The sequence below is a fragment of the Homo sapiens genome, chromosome 3, assembly GCF_000001405.40.
Source record: "Homo sapiens chromosome 3, GRCh38.p14 Primary Assembly".
Taxonomy (NCBI): domain Eukaryota; kingdom Metazoa; phylum Chordata; class Mammalia; order Primates; family Hominidae; genus Homo; species Homo sapiens.
Genome location: NC_000003.12, coordinates 170,802,473 through 170,824,360, shown reverse-complemented (window position 1 = coordinate 170,824,360; position 21,888 = coordinate 170,802,473). Strand labels below are relative to the sequence as shown.

At 43.8% G+C, this 21,888-nt stretch overlaps 1 long non-coding RNA gene across 1 annotated transcript in view, besides 1 other annotated feature; it reads right to left on the bottom strand.

The window, feature by feature from the left end:
• Window positions 1–21,888, bottom strand: part of LOC105374211 (uncharacterized) — a 69,709-nt gene that overhangs the window by 13,263 nt on the left and 34,558 nt on the right. The window lies entirely within an intron of this gene.
• Window positions 6,191–6,768: an enhancer, noted in NCBI's record as "OCT4-NANOG hESC enhancer chr3:170535382-170535959 (GRCh37/hg19 assembly coordinates)". NCBI's record gives its function as "activates a minimal SCP1, AML or CMV promoter by ChIP-STARR-seq in naive H9 embryonic stem cells {active_cell/tissue: H9 hESC(naive)}" and the evidence as "EXISTENCE:reporter gene assay evidence [ECO:0000049][PMID:30033119]".

The following is a 21,888-nucleotide window of genomic DNA, read 5'->3' as shown; positions in this document are numbered from 1 at the left end:
TCTTAAGACCAAACTCAGTGGTTCTGAGCTCAGGCCATATAATAGGGTCACCTGGGAGATTTGTACACAATACTAAAGCATGGCCTTTGTTGAAGGGAAGGCCTGGGCATTGGCATTTAAAAAATTCTTCCCAGGCAATTCATTTTTTTTGAGATGGAGTCTTGCTCTGTCGCCCAGGCTGGAGTGCAGTGGTGCAATCTCGGCTCACTGCAACCTGCAACCTCTGCCTCCCAAGTTCAAGCAATTCTCCTGCCTCAGCCTCTCGAGTAGCCCAGGCAATTCTTATGTAAGTGAGGGATGAGAACCACCCCCTTAACCCAAAAGGGAAGTCATTTGGGAATTATAGTTGTCATGTGGGACCTAGTGGGAGACTTATTTAGAAGCTAGGTGTCCTTCATGATCTTTCCCAAAGATTAAACCATGAACACTGGATGAAACCTTAAGGGTCCATGATACCTCAACAGGTTGGCAAGTATTAACTAACATTCTGCCAGATAAATCAATGAACTCTTTCTAGAAAAGCTCTGATTCTCTCTGTGTTTATAATAACTTTCATAATACCCTCCCGAAGAAGAAACTGAAGCTCAAAATGGTGAATTTGTCAGGCCTCTGAGCCCAAGCTAAGCCATCATATCCCCTGTGACCTGCACGTACACACCCAGATGGCCAGTTCCTGCCTTAACTGATGACATTCCACCACAGAAGAAGTGAAAATGGCCTGTTCCTGCCTTAACTGATGACACTGTCTTGTGAAATTCCTTCTCCTGGCTCATCCTGGCTCAGAAGCTCCCCTACTGAGCACCTTGTGACCCCCACTCTGCCTGCCAGAGAACCCCCATTTGACTGTAATTTTCCTTTATCTACCCAAATCCTATAAAACGGCCCCACCCCTATCTCCCTTCTCTGACTCTCTTTTCAGACTCAGCCAGCCTGCACCCAGGTGATTAAAAGCTTTATTGCTCACACAAAGCCTGTTTGGTGATTTCTTCACACAGACTCACATGAAATTTGGTGCCATGACTCGGATCGGGGGACCTCCCTTGGGAGATCAATCCCCTGTCCTCCTGTTCTTTGCTCCGTGAAAAAGATCCACCTACGACCTCAGGTCCTCAGACCCACCAGCCCAAGGAACATCTCACCAATTTTAAATCAGGTAAGTGGCCTCTTCTTACTCTCTTCTCCAACCTCTCTCACTATCCCTCAACCACTTTCTCCTTTCCACTCTTCAGTCTCTCCCTTCTCTTAATTTCAATTCCTTTCATTTTCTGGTAGAGACAAAGGAGACACGTTTTGTCTGTGGACCCAAAACTCCGGCGCCGGTCACGGACTGGGAAGGCAGCCTTCCCTTGGTGTTTAATCATTGCAGGGACACCTCTCTGATTATTCACCCACGTTTCAGAGGTGTCAGACCACGCAAGGATGCCTGCCTTGGTCCTTCACCCTTAGCGGCAAGTCCCGCTTTTCTAGGGGAGGGGCAAGTACCCCAACCCCTTCTCTCCATGTCTCTACCCCTTCTCTGCCTTTCTGGGGGGCAAGAAACCCCCAATCCCTTCTCCTTCACCCTTAGTGGCAAGTCCCGCTTTTCTGGTGGAGAGGCAAGTACCCCAACCTCATATCTCTGTGCCCCGATCCCTTATTTCTGTGCCCCGACCTCTTATATCTCTGCGCCCTGATCCCTTATTTCTGCGGCCCGACCTCTTATATCTCTGTGCCCTGATCCCTTATTTCCGCTCCCCACCCTCTTATATCTCTGTCTCCTGATCCCTTATTTCCATGCTCCGACCTCATATCTCTGCGCCCTGACCCCTTTCCTGCTTTTCTGGAGGGTAAGAACCCCCGAACCCCTTCCCTCCATGTCTCCACTCTCTCTTTTCTCTGGGCTTGCTTCCTTCACTATGGGCAACCTTCCACCTTCCATTCCTCCTTCTTCTCCCTTAGCCTGTGTTCTCAAAAACTTAAAACCTCTTCAACTCACACCTGACCTAAAACCTAAATGCCTTATTTTCTTCTGCAATGCCACTTGACCCCAATACAAACTCGACAGTAGTTCCAAATAGCCAGAAAACAGCACTTTCAATTTTTCCATCCTGCAAGATCTAAATAATTCTTGTCCTAAAATGGGCAAACGGTCTGAGGTGCCTGATGTCCAGGCATTCTTTTACACATCGGTCCCTTCCTAGTCTCTGTGCCCAGTGAAACTCATCCCAAATCTTCCTTCTTTCCCTCTCGCCTGTCCCCTCAGTCCCAACCCCAAGCGTCGCTGAGTCTTTCTAATCTTCCTTTTCTACAGACCCATCTGACCTCTCCCCTCCTCCCCAGGCTGCTCCTCGCCAGGCCGAGCTAGGTCCCAATTCTTCCTCAGCCTCCGCTCCTCCACCCTATAATCTTTTTATCACCTCCCCTCCTCATACCCGGTCCGGTTTACAGTTTCATTCCGTGAGTAGCCCTCCCCCACCTGCCCAGCAATTTCCTCTTAAAAAGGTGGCTGAAGCTAAAGGCATAGTCAAGGTTAATGCTCCTTTTTCTTCATCAGACCTCTCCCAAATCCTGAGCATTTAGGCTCTTTCATCAAATATGAAAAACCCAGCCCAGTTCATGGCTTGTTCAGCAGCAACCCTGAGACGCTTTACAGCCCTAGACCCTGAAAGGTCAAAAGGCCGTCTTATTCTCAATATACATTTTATTACCCAATCTGCTCCTGACATTAAATAAAACTCCAAAAATTAAATTCCGGCCCTGAAACCCCACAACAGGGCTTAATTAACCTCACCTTCAAGGTGTACAATAATAGAGACAGCCAAGTAGCAACATATTTCTGAGTTGCAATTCCTTGCCTCCACTGTGAGACAAACCCCAGCCACATCTCCAGCACACAAGAACTTCCAAACACCTAAACTGCAGTGGCCAGGTGTTCCTCCAGAACCGCCTTCCCCAGGAGCTTGCTATAAGTGCCAGAAATCTGGACACCAGGCCAAGGAATGCCCACAGCCCGGGATTCCTCCTAAGCCATGTCCCATCTGTGCGGGACCCCACTGGAAATTGGACTGTTCAACTCACCTGGCAGCCACTCCCAGAGCCCCTGGAACTCTGGCCCAAGGCTCTTTGACTGACTGCTTCCCAGATCTCGGCTTAGCAGCTGAAGACTGCCACTGCCAGATCGCCTCGAAGCCTACAAGACCATTACAGACACTCTGGGTAACTCTCACAGTGGAAAGTAAGTCCGTCCCCTTCTTAATCAATACGGAGGCTACCCACCCCACATTACCTTATTTTCAAAGGCCTGTTTCCCTTGCTTCCATAACTGTTGTGGGTATTGATGGCCAGGCTTTTAAACCTGTTAAAACTCCCCAACTCTGGTGCCAACTTAGACAATATTCTTTTAAGCACTCCTTTTCAGTTATCCCCACCTGCCCAGTTCCCTTATTAGGCCGAGATATTTTAACCAAATTATCTGCTTCCCTGACTATTCCTGGACTACAGCCGCATCTCACTGCTGCCCTTCTCCCCAACCCAAAGCCTCCTTCGCGTCTTCCTCTCATATCCCCCCACCTTAACCCACAAGTATGGGACATCTCTACTCCTTCCCTGGCAACAGATCACATGCCCATTACCATCCCATTATAACCTAATCACCCTTACCCCGCTCAACACCAATATCCCATCCCATAGCACGCTTTAAAAGGATTAAAGCCTGTTATCACTCGCCTGCTACAGCATGGGCTTCTAAAACCTATAAACTCTCCTTACAATTCCCCCATTTTACCTGTCCTAAAACCGCACAAGTCTTACAGGTTAGTTCAGGATCTGCGCCTTATCACCCAAATTGTTTTGCCTATCCACCCTGCGGTGCCCAACCCGTACACTCTTTTGTCCTCAATACCTTCCTCCACAACTCACTATTCCATTCTTGATCTTAAAGATGCTTTTTTCACTATTCCCCTTCACCCCTCGTCCCAGCCTCTCTTTGCTTTCACCTGGACTGACCCTGACACCCATCAGTCCCAGCAGCTTACCTGGGCTGTGCTGCCGCAAGGTTTCAGGGACAGCCCTCATTACTTCAGCCAAGCTCTTTCTCATGATTTACTTTCTTTCTACCCCTCCGCTTCTCACCTTATTCAATATATTGATGACCTTCTTCTTTGTAGCCCCTCCTTTGAATCTTCTCAACAAGACACACTTCTGCTCCTTCAGCATTTATTCTCCAAAGGATATCGGGTATCCCTCTCCAAAGCTCAAATTTCTTCTCCATCCGTTACCTACCTTGGCATAATTCTTCATAAAAATACACGTGCTCTCCCTGCTGATCGTGTTGGACTAATCTCTCAAACCCCAACCCCTTCTACAAAATAACAACTCCTTTCCTTCCTGGGCATGGTTGGATATTTTCGCCTTTAGATACCTGGTTTTGCCATCCTAACAAAACCATTATATAAACTCACAAAAGGAAACCTAGCTGACCCCATAGATCCTAAATCCTTTCCCCACTCCTCTTTCTGTTCCTTGAAGACAGCTTTAGAGACTGCCCCCACTCTAGCTCTCCCTGACTCATCCCAACCCTTTTCATTACACACAGCCGAAGTGAAGGGCCGTGCAGTCAGAATTCTTACACAAGGACCGGGATCACGTCCTGTAGCCTTTTTGCTCAAACAACTTGACTTTACTGTTTTAGGCTGGCCATCATGTCTCCGTGCAGCGGCTGCTGCCGCCCTAATACTTTTAGAGGCCCTTAAAATCACAAACTATGCTCAACTCACTCTCTACAGCTCTCATAATTTCCAAAATCTATTTTCTTCCTCACACCTGACACATACACTTTCTGCTCCCCAGCTCCTTCAGCAGTACTCACTCTTTGTTGAGTCTCCCACAATTACCATTGTTCCTGGCCCGGACTTCAATCCAGCCTCCCACAGTATTGCTGATACCACACCTGACCCTCATGACTGCATCTCTCTGATCCACCTGACGTTCACCCCATTTCCCCACATTTCCTTCTTCCCTGTTTCTCACCCTGATCACAGTTGGTTTATTGATGGCAGTTCCACCAGGCCTAATCGCCACTCACCAGCAAAGGCAGGCTATGCTATAGTACAAGCCACTAGCCTGCCTCTTAAAACCTCTCATTTCCTTTCCATTGTGGAAATCTATCCTCAAGGAAATAACTTCTCAATGTTCCATCTGCTATTCTACTACTCCTCAGGGATTATTCAGGCCCCCTCCCTTCCCTACACATCAAGCTCGAGGATTTGCCCCCACCCAGGACTGGCAAATTAGCTTTACTCAACATGCCCCGAGTCAGATAACTAAAATACCTCTTAGTCTAGGTAGATACTTTCACTGGATAGGTACAGGCCTTTCCTACAGGGTCTGAGAAGGCCACTGCAGTCATTTCTTCCCTTCTGTCAGACATAATTCCTCAGTTTAGCCTTCCCACCTCTATACAGTCTGACAACGGACCAGCCTTTATTAGTCAAATCAGACAAGCAGTTTTTCAGGCTCTTAGTATTCAGTGAAACCTTTATATCCCTTACGGTCCTCCGTCTTCAAGAAAAGTAGAACGGACTAAAGGTCTTTTAAAAACACACCTCACCAAGCTCAGCCACCAACTTAAAAAGGACTGGACAATACTTTTACCACTTTCCCTTCTCAGAAGTCAGACCTGTCCTCAGAATGCCACAAGGTACAGTCCATTTGAGCTCCTGTATGGACACTCCTTTTTATTAGGCCCCAGTCTCATTCCAGACACCAGACCAACTTAGACTGTGCCCCAAAAAAACTTGTCATCCCTACTATCTTCTGTCTAGTCATACTCCTATTCACTGTTCTCAACTACTCATACATGCCCTGCTCTTGTTTACACTGCCGGTTTACACTGTTTCTCCAAGCCATCACAGCTGATATCTCCTGGTACTGTCCCCAAACTGCCACTGTAAACTCTTGAAGTAAATAAATAATCTTTGCTGGCAGGACTATGCTGAATCTCCTTAGGCACTCTCTAATCAGATGTCCTGGGTCCTCCCAATTCTTAGACCTTTTATACCTGTTTTTCTCCTTCTCTTATTCCATTTAGTTTTTCAATTCATACAAAACTGTATCCAGGCCATCTCCAATAATTCTACACGACAAATGTTTCTTCTAACAACCCCACGACATCACCTCTTACCACAAAATCTTCCTTCAGCTTAATCTCTCCCACTCTAGGTTCCCACGCTGCCTCTAATACCGCTTGCAGCAGCCCTGAGAAACATCGCCCATTATCTCTCCACACCACCCCCAAAAATTTTCACCATCCCAACACTTTACCACTATTTCATTTTATTTTTCTTATTAACATAAGAAGACAGGAATGTCAGGCCTCTGAGCCCAAGCTAAGCCATCATATCCCCTGTGACCTGCAGGTACACACCCAGATGGCTGGTTCCTGCCTTAACTGATGACATTCCACCACAAAAGAAGTGAAAATGGCCTGTTCCTGCCTTAACTGATGACATTGTCTTGTGAAATTCCTTCTCCTGGCTCATCCTGGCTCAAAAGCTCCCCTACTGAGCACCTTGTGACCCCCACTTTGCCCGCCAGAGAACAACCCCCCTTTGACTGTAATTTTCCTTTATCTACCCAAATCCTATAAAATGGCTATACCCTTATCTCCTTTCTCTGACTCTCTTTTCGAACTCAGCCTGCCTGCACCCAGGTGAAATAAACAGCCATGTTGCTCACACAAAGCCTGTTTGGTGGTCTCTTCACACTGAGAACCACCCCCCTTAACCCAAAAGGGAAGTCATTTGGGAATTCCAGTTGCCATGTGGGACCTAGTGGGAGACTTATTTAGAAGCTAGGTGTCCTTCATGGTGTTTCCCAAAGATTAAACCATGAATACTGGATGAAACCTTAAGGGTCCATGATACCTCAACAGGTTGGCAAGTATTAACTAACATTCTGCCTGCTTGAGAGGCCAGATACATCAATGAACTCTTTCTAGAAAAGCTGATTCTCTCTGTGTTTATAATAACTTTCATCATACCCCCCCGAAGAAGAAACTGAAGCTCAAAGTGGTGAATTAACTTGCTCTGAGTCTCTAGCAGCAAGAGACCAATTTGAGAATCACATCCAGGAATCTAAATTCCATGCTCTTTCTGCCACATCATGTTGCCCTTAAAAAATTACATCCATCTTTTTGTACTCATGTAACTGATTTTGATTTTATTTTTTTGCTACATGGGGCTGACTTGGCTCCTCATTTTCAAAGAAGCTTGCCAATAAAAGTGCTCCCCGAACCAACAAACAATAGTTGTATTTTGATCAGATATTATAGGTGTGTCTGAGACACAGCCCAGGAGGAATGTGGCTGTATCTATTCATCTCTTTATAAATATTGATGAAGAATGGTAAAAATGTTTTAAAGGAAACTTTATCTGAAGGAGTGTCTTGGAACGCAGCTGCTTCTTTCCATGTCTTTCATATTTCTTACCCCTGGCACTGAAATCCAAACACTGAAGGGTGGGCCACATCCTAGGGTTTGTTTATGACTGTGGCATCAGCAGTTCTGTATTGGGTTGGCTTTGGGGGAGGGTGGCCCCAGCAATTACCATTGGCATACCTGGTCATTGTCCCTGAGCTGTGACAAAAAAATAACACGGTAGCTCCACAGAGGGAGTTCTGAGTTGCAGATAATTTTATGAACGCCCTTTATTTCAAGGATATGAGAAAAGAAAAAGCCCATTTTGTAGCAAAGAAAACTGAGGTGAAGAAACATTGCTTAGCTTGCCTGAGGACACAGTAACACTGGCACATGTTGGAAGGGAAGTCAGGCCTTCAGGGGTGTGTTACTCTGGGGCCTGCTCCACTACTCATCATTTTCCTTTATTAGTTTCTCATTTAAAAGTTGAGGACAAAGAAGTATGCACAAAGAGGTTTCTCCTTCCTTAGTTACAACAGCAAAATTGAAAACAATTTAAATGGCCAACAGTAGGAAATGTTTAAGAGAAAAAATGTGGTCTATTTATTCTATGAAATATCTAAATATTAAAAACAATAGTTAAAAAATAGTTTGTAATGACTTGGAAAATGCTTTAGTAGAAATTTAGTAGAAATTATCTTTCTGCTGCTTTTTCATCTTCTGGACCTCTGAGCCCATGGTACTCAAAATGCAGTCCTCCCACTGGCCAGCAACATCAACTTCGAGCATGTGAGAAATGTAGAATCTCAGGCCCTAGCGCTGCTGAATCAGCATCAGCATTTGAGCACCATCCCCACGTGATTTACATCACATTAATATTTGTACCTATCTGAGTAAGGAGTCTCAAAGATTCAGTCCTCAGGCAACTTCTCAACTCTGAATACATCTGTGCCTTAAGTTAGTGATTCTGGTGGCATGTTAAGTTTGGTTAAGTTTGGCATGTTAATGGTGGCATTCTATTGCTCTGGGATGTGGCCATGGGGCATAGCACTTGTGTAAGTAACTCAGATGTTTCAAAAATACAGATGAGGTCAAGATCTACCATCTGTGTCAGTGGTGCCCAAACTTTTTGGCACCAGGGACTGGTTTCATGGAAGATAATTTTTCGATGGATGGAGAGGCAGATGGGGGATTGTTTCAGGATGAAACTGTCCCACCTCAGATCATGAGGCATTAGAGTCTCATAAGGAGCACACAACCTAGATCCCTCCCATGCACAGTTCACAGTAGAGCTCCTGCTCTATGAAAATCTAATGCCGCTGCTGATCTGACAGGAGGCGGAGCTCAGGTGGTAATATGAGCCACGGGAGTGACTGTAAACACAGATGAAGCTTGCCTGCCGCTCACCTCCTGCTGTGCCGTGTGGTTCCTAACAGGCCACAGACTGGTAAAAGTCCTCGGCCCGGGGGTTGGCGACCCCTGGTCTACATGATTTCCCCTGTGATACAGTTTTAAGCAGAAAATTCATGATACCAAGTTGTAGGTTCTATGTGTTATTAACTATGGAAAAATGCATACAGAAAAAGACTGGAAGAAAATATACCAAAATATTAATCATTATAAAAATTGAGCTGGGTCCAATGGCTCAGGCCTATAATCCCAGCACTTTGGAAGGCGAAGCAGGTGGATGGCTTGAGTCCAGGAATTCAAGACCAGGGCAACATGGCAAAACCCCATCTCTACAAAAAAAGTTAGCCAGATGTGGTGCTGTGTCTGTAGTCCCAGCTACTCGGGAAGCTGGGAGTTGGGAGGATTGCTTGAACCCAGGAGATTGAAGCTGCAGTGAGCTGTGATCACGCCACTTTACTCCAGCCTGGGCAAGAGAGTGAGGCCATCCAGAGAGAGAGAGAGGCAGAGAGAGAGAGAGAGACAGAGAGAGAGAGAGATGCATTCTTTTGAGGAGGAGTTGGTTTCTTCATATTTTTCTTTATAGTGGTCATAAATCTCAGGCCACAGACTCAGATGTGCAAGAGACATTAACTTTATTCTTTCATACGCCAACTTAATTTCTACTTAGTTCCTCAATCTGCTTGTGGTGAAAACTTTTCAGTCACTTCAGAGGGACCTCTGTCAAATCAAGTTTTGCTCAGTCAAGCTGCCACTAACCTATGGCATCATTGTGCAAATTAGAAAAAGATCCCCTTCCAGGAGGGTGCAGCCCCGCGCCAACACAAACTAGATTTCTGCCTACACCTGCTTCTTAAGCTAGGGGTCCCTGTGCAGTGAATAGTATGCATTTCTGTGTATGGTGGTTCTGGGGACAGCTAATGTAGGACCCCAATTCTTTATCCAGCATTGCAGGTAAATTCCAAGAAGCTTTCAGGTGGCACTGGACTGAATAGAGAGAGGCCACGGAGGGCATAAAGTCCCTGTAGCCTTCATCACTGACATTGTCCTTGCTAGTGTGCTCTGATTCCCATTAGGTCACCAAGGGAATTGGCTGAACAGACTAAGCTTTTTTGGGCTCGGCTCTCTCTCTAGACTTCTAAGCCCCTCTGGGAAATAACTGGCTGCTCCATGAGCCTCCGAGGGAACTCCATGAGATCACCTCAGCCTTGTCTGCCTGGATAGTCTTTGCAGCCATTCTTTAAGTTACATTTGGGGAAGCTGCATAATGGCTGCTGCCCTCCTGAACTTCAGTCACATGCCCCAAAGCTTCTATTCTTAGATATCTCAAACTTTCTTATGAGTTTTTTTTGCCACCTCTCCCTTCTCTAAGAATGGCTGGGGGCTAGAGGAGGAATGGGTAGGACATAAAGCCCTTCCTCAGTGCTATTCTTTTCTACGCAGGGGATCTGTTCCTCTGGGGTAGGCAAACTGCCTCTTGTATCATTTTGTACTCTTCCAGTCTATTGCTTATCCATGGGCTTCATGTCCTCCTCTAAGATTTACAAATCAAAACTTTGACTTAAGGCATTTCCTCTACTTTTCTCTAGTTTCACTCTTACCTGGCTTAGTGAGACGTAATGTTTTTGCAGGTGGTCTGATGTCTGTTATTAAAGGGAAATGCAAGGTTCACAGTGAGAACCCGACACTGGTTTTAGCTCATTCCTTGCAGGAAGCCTGATTTTTCTCACTCAATTTTGTTGGTCAAAATTTAATGAAGGCTGTAAAATCCAATGCAGGATGAGAAACACAACATTCATTCCTGGGTACTCATAGACATTCATGGAGACACTTAGGAGCATCACTTGGGTAGACAGGAGCACGTTCTTCTGCCTGACTACATCTTCCCTACTGAAATGCTGGTTTCGAGTTCACATACCCAGAGATCACTGAAAGCCAGGCACTGGGGAATGGCTAGTAGGGAGAATAGTACAGGGGAAAACACTTCACCCGTGGGTATTCACGAGCTTCCCCAGGAGTGTTTTTAGATCAGAAGACAACTGGTGAATTTCCAGGAACAGCTGCTTCAGTGCTGCCACATCCGTCAGCTCTCAACACGTGTTAGTGTCTGTCCTCCCTCCTTCTTTGGAATTTAGAACTGTGCCATGGTCTGGTTGCAGGAATCTCATTAAAGAGCTTCCCTTTCTGTATTAGTTTGCTAGGGCTGCCATTAACAAAATACCAGAGACTGGATGGCTTAAACAACAGAAATGTGTTTTCTCACAGTTCTGGAGGTTGGAAGTCCAAGATCATGGTGTGATCAGGTTGGTTTCTGGTAAGGCCTCTCTTCCTGTTCTTTGTAGACAGCCACTTTATTCCTGTGTCCTCACATAACCCTTTTTCTGTGAGCACGCAAGGAAAGAAATTTCTGGTGTCTCTTCTCCTTCCTATAAGAACCCCAGTCCTTCAGATTATAGACCAACCCTTAGGACCTCACTTAATCTTAATTACCTCCCTAAAGGCTTGAACTCCAAAAACAGTCACATTGGGAATTAGGAGTTTAACATCAGAATGGGCTTGGGGACTGGGAGAGTAGTTCAGTACTTTAACGCTTTCCCTGACAGAAAATTTTGTGATCACCTACTACATGTTGGGCCCTGTGCCACATGCTGGGGATAATAATTTATAAAAATGTTTCAACCCCTGCCTCAAGGAGCTCCTCCTCTGGGGACTGAGTCTGCAGCCATCAGAGGAGTGGGGTCACAATGAGATGTCTGGAAATGGACCTCTGTGGTAAGTGGGGATTCCTGCATGGCTTTTGCTATGATCGTATCTCAAGAAAGCAAATTCTGCAAATATTCTGAGTGGGTGGTAGTAGAGCTATTTTCTTGATGTGGCAGAGTCGCATACAAAAGCCCTTAAAGGGATCAATGAGACGAATTTCTGAGCTAGTCTGAAACAAGAACTGGGGATGAACTTTGGCAATTGGGCCAGAACTTAAACACAGGATTTTGCTGGGGTCCCAAGGTTCTGCCCATTTGGGACAATCTCTTTCACATGCGCCACACCATTCCCCTTACCACGCCAGCAGATTCAAAGAGGCAGCTTGGTACGTTTTGGTAGGTTTTGGGAGTGAGAAGGCCTGGGGTGGGGGTTGCGGCAAGAGGAGAGCAGCAACCCCTCTCACATTATCAGCTGTGCAGAACCAAGGAGAACCTAAGAAGATCCGCCAAACAGAAAAAGCTGAGATTATGCTTCACAGACCCAAAGACTTTTAAGCTCTTTATTAGCTGCAACAGAATCACCACATGGCAGTACAAAAATGTTCTTGAACTTGACACTTGAACTTGGCTGCAACCCTGCTGGTAAAACTTAGTAATTAGGCAAACAAAAAGCTGGGGAGTGCAATTACGGCCATTGAACCACTAGGGGGCACTCATGGTTTCTCATTCAGAAGAGGAGAGGGGAGGAGGAGGTTATAGGGCTATGGCTTAGGGTGGGGCATTCAGTGTGGTATTGGAGAGGGATGAAAGTTAAAGCTGTTTTGTGTGTTTGTTTTTTGGAGGGAGAGGTGTTAAAGACCTAGTTATTTCGCTAATAATATAGTATGCATTAACCTGGCCTTGACTTCTGTGAAGCTAGCGGGCCCAATAGACTAGCTGGTGGAGAGTTCTGGAGTGTGACATCCCAAACAAATAATTGTTCACTTTAAGATAACTTTCTTTCGTGGGCATTAGAAAAAGGGCATGTTTTGCATCACGAGGGAGAGCGTTTTACGCGCATGCACACACATACTAAACAGACACACCTACTGACTTAAAAACATCAACACACTGTCTGAATATTGCTTCAGGTTGGAAAACAAGGTTGCATCCAAATTGTGTCATCTTTTCAAAATACAGCTGGAGAGAAAATGCTGCCTATATTTCAGGGAGCTTTTAAATTTCAGTGACATACCAGTCTAGGCTGCCAAAAGCTAGAAGAACATGAGTCATCAAGCTAGGTGCACTGATCATAGGAAACACCAGGTCTCAGGCTCCAGCCATCCCCTATCCTCTTCCCTACCCCTACACAAATTTGTGGCTTGTGGCCAGTACCAGGATTTGCTGTTAGTCCCCATGTTCCCGGGGCCTCCTTTCCTCTAAGGTCTTCCAGCCATTGTAACTGGCTTTCTTCCCTTTTATACCTAATAGAGAACTGCTGAGGGCCTTCTTCTTTGTATTTGGGATTATCGGATCAAAAGATTGAAAGTGTGATTGCCAGGTTCTCCCAGAGCGTCCTGCATCCAGATTTGCCACCCTCATCTCATCTGCAGGAGGTGACAGTCAGAAGCAGAAGTTAGACCATGGGCAAGGGCCCTAAAATATTCATTAGGCAAAAGCAAGAAAGCTTGCCTGCCATTGGGGCAGGTGTTGGGCTTGAAACGTTCAGTGTCATTATCTCATTTAATTTTTACAACAATCTGCCAGTTGCTATTACCACCTCCATTTTACAGATAAGGAAACCGAGGACCAGAGAAGCTAAGTACCTTCATATAGATCTGGGATTTAAATTCAGGCATTCTGACTTAAAATTGAATGTATTTTTTAGTCCTAGCTACAAAGCCACTGTCTACCAGAACTACTTGAAATCTCCTTCCCTTTTCTCTGGCTTCTCCTTGTAATTGAGGATCTTACATTGGCAATGGTTATATGAATGATGACGATGATAATTACAATACCAGCTAACTTTTACTGATTACTTACTATAGGCCAAGCAATGTGCTCAACACCAAACTTTTATATCTTCAATTCTCACAGAAAATTTACCGTGAAGTTAGTATTTTTACTGCCATTTCATAGATGAGGCACCTGAAGCTTAGGAATGTTAAGAAATTTTTGCAAGATTACACACCCAAGTAGAGCCTGGTTTGGAACCTAGGTCTAATTGCCCCTAAGCCCGAGTATTTAAACCACTATGCTATACTGTGCATAGGGAGATAATTGAATCTATGGAGAAATACTCAGGGCTATAGTACTACTAATCAGACCTTTAAAAACTGAAAGAATAGTGAAAAGGGGTATAGTCATATCTTTATGTGGCATGGTATAATGATGAAGCTGGAAAAGAGTGCTTACATTCTAAAACAGGAAGCTTTCTAACCTTCCCTGCTTAGAAAAATAATCAACTCTGATTATTTCCATGTATTCTGTTCTTGAATTGGAAATTCCAGGAGTCTGGTTTTAATTGCATAGGAAGTCAACCTGGACTGTTATTGTTTGTCAGGAGTCTGTTTTATCATTTTTATGGTCAAGCAATGGACTTCATCACTAGGGATTTAGTTCATGTGTGTTTCTGTTTCAATGGATACTATCAAGTAATTAAGGTTGAGGGAATGAATGGCTACTTTATTGCTAAACGCTAGCATCTGGCTATAAAATGAGGAAAGAGGGAGTGGTCAGGGGAAAGTGGAAGTATGACTAACACTGAACTTCAGTTAATAGATCTGGACACATTGAACCTGAGTAAATAGGTCTGATATTCTCCTGCTTGCAATGCTGGGGATGAAGTAGATGAGCTCCTTCTCACCAGCACCTTGAAAAGAATCAGATATTAAACTAGAACTCAGCAACTACTCAGTATTATTGGAGTAATATTTTTAAACCCAAAGCATTTGAGTAGTTCCCTAACAATATTTCAAAGAACAAACAAAAAGATGTGTTCATCAGCAAGGTCAGATGTGTATCATCTGAATGCCTGCACTGTGAATAGCTCTGCTAATTGGTGAGCTGAGCATGAAGTGACTTGGATGATTAATTAAGGAGATAGGCCTTGAATAGGACGGAGGTGCATGGCCATTGTTGAGCACCTAAGGCAACAGCCTAAGGAGGAAAACTCACTGAAATTCCCTAGGTGGCAGCAGTGAACAAGGCGTTAGAAGGCCCCGAGGATGTGACAGCTCAGAGAAGGAGTATCTTCTAGGGGTCCAGGAGAAGCTGGATTTGCCATCTGGTTTAAGATTTTGAGGTGGGTGGAGATGGGTGTGGGAATGGGAGACAGTGTAGCACAGCGAAGAGTTAGAATCAGTAAGCCTTCTTAGTCCAGCTCTGCCGATCACTGGCTGTGTGGCCTCGGGACAACTGTTCTGTCAGCAACCTCCACCCACCCCCATTTCCTCCTCCCACAAATGGGGCTAGGTGAGGTCATCCCTGGGTACCTTTTGGCATTATATGATTCACAATTTGATGATGCCTCTGGCATTTTCATTGCACTCTTTACAATGAAAGAACTTGATTACCTTGGTTGGGACGTGGAGGAGAGGGTTGTATGTGTGTATTCCAGAGAGATGCATTATGCTACTGTCTTTTTAGCAGTGTTCTCTGTCTGGAGAATATGCTGATCTTTGCAAACTAGAACAATATTGTTGTCCTACCATTAGCGCAGGTAGGTTTTATATGGTTGACATAATTCGCTCACCTATCGCGCACTCTCAACCGTACGCCCTTGCAGTCCCGCAGCTGTGCTCATAAGGGACAGAGCTTTTTAGCACTCTCTTCCAGCCAACTGAGTTTTTGGCTATGTCTTGGTAGTTATAATATCTTTGTTCTTTTTACGTGGTGCCAGGCACTTTGTTAAGCCCATAATACCTCACAAACATACAGCTCTTTTATTCTACCTTCAAGTAGCTTTTAATTATCTTTGTTTAAACAAACCAATCTCTCAAACCCAATTCACCTTAATAATAACTAATATGTACAAATGTTTATTATGTGCCAGGCATATATGTGTGTCCTGAATATGTTATTCTATTTAACCCTTAAAATAAGCCTATGGATTAATACTAGTACTTTACATTATCTGTAGATGGAAATTGAGGCCTAGAGAGGTTAAATAACTTGCCCAAGGCCACAAGACTGATACACAGCAGAACCAGGGTTTGAACCCAGGAAGTCTGTCTCTAGGATCCTCCAAGACACTGCACTTGAAAAAGGGCTAGTGATTTATGCACATGGCTTCTTTTCTTCTCCACTAGATTAAATATAGGTTTTTTTGTTTTTGTTTACTTTTTCAATTTGTTAATTTGCTACAGAGACACTGTATTAGTTCGTTCTCACACTGCTATGAAGAAATACCCAAGACTGGGTAATTTATAAAGACATGAGGTTTAATTGATTCACAGTTCCGCATGGCTGGGGAGCCCTCGGGAAACTTATAATCATGGTGGAAGGCACCTCTTCACAGGGCAGCAAGAGAGAGAATGAGTGCCAGCAGGGGAAATACCAGACATTTGTAAAACCATCAGATCTCATGAGAACTCCCTCACTATCATGAGAACAGCATGGAGGAAATCACCCCCGTGATTCAATTGCCTCCCACCGGGTCGCTCCCACAACATGTGGGGATTATGGGAATTACAACTCAAGATGAGAACTGGGTGGGGCCATAGCCAAACCATATCAGACACTCTGATTTAATTTTGTTCTCTTCCTAGGATCTATAGTTTGGGAATGTCATCACAATAACAAATCCCACCACCACCTCACTAAGATAATTTGTCTCCCCACTAACATTTATTTTAAAAGTCTTTTTTTTTTTTTTTTTTTTTTTGAAACAGTGTCTCGCTCTGTCACCTAGGCTGGAGTGCAGTGGCACGATCTCGGCTCACTGCAAGCTCCGCCTTCAGGGTTCACGCAATTCTCCTGCCTCAGCCTCCCGAGTAGCTGGGACTACAGGCACCCGCCACCACGCTTGGCTAATTTTTTTGTATTTTTAGCAGAGATGGGGTTTCACCATGTTAGCCAGGATGGTCTCGATCTCCTGACCTCGTGATCCACCCGCCTCAGCCTCCCAAAGTGCTGGGATTACAGGCGTGAGCCACCGCACCTGGCCAAAAGGTTTTTTTAAACCTATAGTAGAGGTTGGAGACAGTTATTTTTTGTGTGAGTTTGTGTGTATGTGTGTGTGCATGTGATTGCCAAGGAAATAGTCGCTGAAAAATGGAGAAACACCTTGATGAAAAAAAGGCAGACGCCTTTGGCAACACGTTGCAGGGTATCTGCCAGGGGAAGTTATAAGGATACAAGAAAAGAGATCCATGGCTTGAATGAGTTATTTGCAACAGGGCACAGAGATGAGAAACAGTGAAGAAGACACTGAACGGCAGGAAAGTCAACTGTGGAGTCAAAGGTACCCTCTTGAAAGAATACAGCTGGAGTCCAAGGTCACACTGCAGGAGCCCCAGTGAATTTTTCATGGCTAACTGGAGGACACTGACTGTACTTCTAAAGTTTTTTTTATCTTGACTATAGGATAATTGGTCTACTTTATAGATGTCTCTTATTTAATATTCTTTGGAGAATTTCTCTGTGGAGTTAGACTGGTATCACAAATTAGTGTCTCCATTTTTGAAATGGAGTAAATGAGGTTTGAAATGATTAAGCTACTGGTCTGCAGCTCACCACAGCCTGATGTTACCAGGAAAATAGCTCTTCATTCTGGTGGAGTTTCCTCTCCTCTCTATTCTATCTTCTTCCCTGAGTTTCAGCGAAGACTCAGGTGTTTATGTGATGTCTGTCTGGGGCCAAGGTAAGCATGGAATATGGTTTCTGCATATTTTGTTCAGTATTTGTGCATCTCAGAGGTGTTCCAAATTCAGGCTCAGAGCCAAATTTGCCACTGGCCATTGGCTTCAGTTTCTCCAGAGGAGGAACTCACAGAATAGCCAAAGGTTTTCATTCCTCAGGAATTTAAATAACAATCTATCTTTGTTCATCAGGGAAGAAAGAAGCAAAGACTAATCTCTCAGCTGTGGGAGTTTATTACTTATATGTCACCATGTGGAGCACACTGTCCTCAGCTCAGTGATACTTGGCAAGTCAACAAAGTTTTTCTCCAGCATTGAACTGTTTACGTTGCACCTATTTTGACTGAAGGCTCATGCTATGTGCTTCCTCCACAGAGCCTCTCCCAGAGTTGTTCCTTGAAGGACGTTGGTAAAAAATACATATTAATCACAGGAACACCTGCAGTGCCAGAAAGGACTATAATTGGGAATAAGTGCCATTTGAGGTCTGTCCTTGCCTTCCCCAGTGTCTTATCAATACCCTAAGCCTTTGCTTGGGAGAGAGAGATTTCAAGTTTTCTGTTGATTTACTCTCATCTAAATGCTTGAGGGAAAACTCTTCAGTTCTAGGGGCAGTTGACTCAGCTAGGAGACATCACTTGACCTTCACCTTATATAAGATATCTTGACTTATTCAGGGTACTTTGAAATACTTGGCAATAGGCCAGGCGCGGTGGCTCACGCCTGTAATCCCAGCACTCTGGGAGTCCCAGGTGGGTGGATCACAAGGTGAAGAGATCAAGACCATCCTGGCCAACATGGTGAAACCTTGTCTCTACTAAAAATACAAAAAGCAGTGGGCATGGCGGCATGTGCCTGTAACCCCAGCTACTCGGGAGGCTGAGGCAGGAGAATTGCTTGAACCCGGGAGGTGGAGGCTGAGCTGAGATCACACCACTGTACTCCAGCCTGGATGACAGAGCAAGACTCTGTCTCAAAAAAAAAAAAAAAAAAAAAAAAAGAAAGAAAAAAAGAAAGAAAATTAAAAAGAAATACTTGGCAATAAATCTCATCATTTTACCATTCATTATTCTGAAGTCATTGGGCTATCTCTTTCAGAAATGCACACTTCCCTGGTATTATTTACATAGGTAATAGTAGGAAACACTGTTGATGTTTCTCCAGTATTTCACAGTACTGCAAAACTCTTTTTATTTTTATTTCGTTTTTCTATAACTTATTGGGGTAGAGGTGGTATTTGGTTACATGAGTAAGTTCTTTAGCGGTGATTTGTGAGATTTTGGTGGGCCCATCACCTGAGCAGTATACACTTCACCATATTTGTAGTCTTCCTTCCCTCACCCCCTCCCACTCTTCCCCCTAAGTCCCCAAAGTTCATTGCATCATTCTTATGCTTTTACATCCTCATAGCTTAGCTCCCACATATCAGTGAGAACTTACGATGTTTGATTTTCCATTCCTAAGTTACTCCACTTAAAATAATAGTCTCCAATCTCATCCTGGTTACTGCAAATGCTGTTAATTCATTCCTTTTTAATGGCTGCATAATATTCCATCATATATATATATTACAGTTTCTTTATCCACTTGTTGATTAATGGGCATTTGGGCTGCTTCCATATTTTTGCAATTGTGAATTGTGCTGCTATAAACATGCATGTGCAAGTATCTTTTTCAAATAATGACTTCTGTTCCTCTGGGTAGATACACAATAGTGGGATTGCTGGATCAAATGGTAGTTCTACTTTTAGTTCTTTAAGGAATCTCCACACTGTTTTCCATAGCAGCTCTACTAGTTTACATTCTCACCAGCAGTGTAGAAGTGTTCCCTGTTCACTGCATCCACGCCAACATCTACTGCTTTTTTATTTTTTGATTATGATCGTTTTTGCAGGAGTAAGGTAGTATCGCATTGTGGTTTTGATTTGCATTTCCCTGATCATTAGTGATGTTGAACATTTTTTCATATGTTTGTTGGCCATTTGTATATCTTCTTTTGAGAATTGTCTATTCATGTCCTCAGCCCACTTTTTGATGAGATTTTTTTTCCTTACTGATTTATTTGAGTTTCTCACTGATTTGTTGTAAATTCTGGATATTAGTCCTCTGTCAAATGTATAGATTGTAAAGATTTTCTCCTACTCTGTGGGTTGTCTGTTTACTCTGCTGACTGTTCCTTTTGCCGTGTAAAAGCTCTTCAGTTTAATTAGGTCCCAGCTATTTACCTTTGTTTTTATTGCATTTGCTTTTAGGTTCTTGGTCATGAAATCCTTGCCTAAGCCAATGTCTAGAAGGGTTTTTTCCAATGTTATCTTCTAGAATTTTTAATAGTTTCAGGTCTTAGGTTTAAGTCCTTAATCCATCTTGAGTTGATTTTTGCATAAGGTGAGAGACGATAATCCAGTTTCATTCTCCTACATGTAGTGAAATGATCTTCTTCTACATGCATCTCACTCTGCTTTTACTTCTCGCTTGCAGAGCAAGAGGGAGGAAAACTGCTGCTTCTATGATAGAAACACTGCAGACTGAGCCTTCATGGAACTTTCTGTAGATTTCCTCCAGGATGAAGGGCTTAGCATATGGAATTATAGATCTTCTGGGCTGAAGGTGACCTTAGACAAGCCTGGCTCCCTCTCATGCTGAGGAGGAGGCTGGAACCCAGAGGGTCACATGGCTGATAGATGTCTGAACTGTCTCCTGACTCCTAATCTAGTGCTCTGGCTTTGATCTACAGACCATAAACATGGCACCCCTTTTCAGCTCAAAGGACCAAACAGCTTTCTTGTTCCTCAGTAAATCATCACATTTGCACTGCAAAGCTTGTTTAAAATAGAGTGGGTGATTGTCATAACAACATGTGGTTAAAAAAAACAAAGTAGAAAGAAAAAGATGATGACTTTTGGGGAAGCTAGTTAGATTTTTGATAAAGAGGCCATTTTAGTTACTTTTAAAAGAAGTAGGGAAAATATTCTGTGCATTAAGCCTTTAAAGCAGAAAAGGAAAATTTAAATGTGATTTATTTATTTATTTATTTATTTATTTATTTATTTACCTACCTTCAAGATGATCAAAGGTTGAACTAATTTACATTTAGCTTTAGCTAAATGTAAAGAAAAAAAGTCATCTGAGATTGAATTTGAATTGAAATGGACTTTTCTGGTCACTGGGCAAGATTTTAAAGGAAGGAAGAAAATTGTTCCCCATTCCCATTCTCTAACAGAAATGTTAGCAAGCTTTGGGTTATTCATCTGAGAAATTTTTCTTAGCACCATTAAAACACATCAGTGAGTAGACTTTAAATCTCTACTGTAATGTATAGGAGATGAAAGGAATCATGTTTGGCATGCAGCTGTTTTATCAAAAATAAGGAACATGTAGTTCGTTTGTGAACAAAAGACTTTAGTTTTCGCAAATTGGGATGGGAGGCAGAGATTTAAAGGGCAGAGGCATAGCTGACTCCCAAGAAGACCCTGCAAAACTTGCAAACCTTCAAAAAATGACAGGTCCCTCAGTATCAATGTGAGGGCATTTGTCCATATAATGTAGAAAACAGTTGTCCTTCAGGGAACAGAATTTAAACTACAGATAGGTCATACAGAGTGAGGGCAGTGATTATTTCCCTGAGTCTTGTGATCTGCCTTTTTCTTTAAGTTGCACTCAGACTAGCAAACTGATGGGTGAGCAGTCCCACCTTTTTTTTTTTTTTTTTTTGAGACGGAGTCTCGCTCTGTCGCCCAGGATGGAGTGCAGTGGCGCGATCTCAGCTCACTGCAACTTCCACCTCCCGGATTCAAGCAGTTCATTACCTCAGCCTCCCGAGTAGCTGGGATAACAGGCGCCTGTCATCACGCCCGGCAAATTTTTGTATTTTTAGTAGAGACGAGGTTTCACTGTCTTGGCCAGGCTGGTCTTGAACTCCTGACCTCATGATCCACCCACCTCCACCTCCCAAAGTGCTGGGATTATAGGTGTGAGCCACCACGCTGGGCCTCCCCAGTATTTCCTGATAGGAATAGCTCACAGTGCCTAAACTATTTATGCAAACAATGTGGTTTACACTGAAAATCTGCTTCCCTTCTGGGAGTCTGGAATTTTGGTATGTGAAAACCCTGCGTGCTAAGTCTCAATGAACTTTTCTGGAAGACAACATTTTATGCATGTTGTCACAACTCATTGCTGGAAGAATTTAGCATGTGCTGTGCAATTCCACTGGGAGAAGATTCTTGGAGCGTGTGCCTGGCTTCCCCCAACATCACCCGATGTGTCTTTTATCTTTGCTGATTTACTGTGTATCTTTTCACTGCAATCAATTTTAGCCATGAGTACAACAATATGTTAAGTCATGTGAGTCCTCTTAGTGAATCATCTAAGCTGGGGGTGATCTTTGGGACACCACCCCCGTAAACAGCAGGATTAACGGAAATAATAAAGGATGGTAAGGCCTCCAGTGATTAGCAAGAGAGGAATGCCAGTTAGGGGCAGGAGAAGGAAGCAGTTACTAGACCTCTGTGAGAGCTGGAGCTGCAGAAAGTGGGGGACAGTTTAC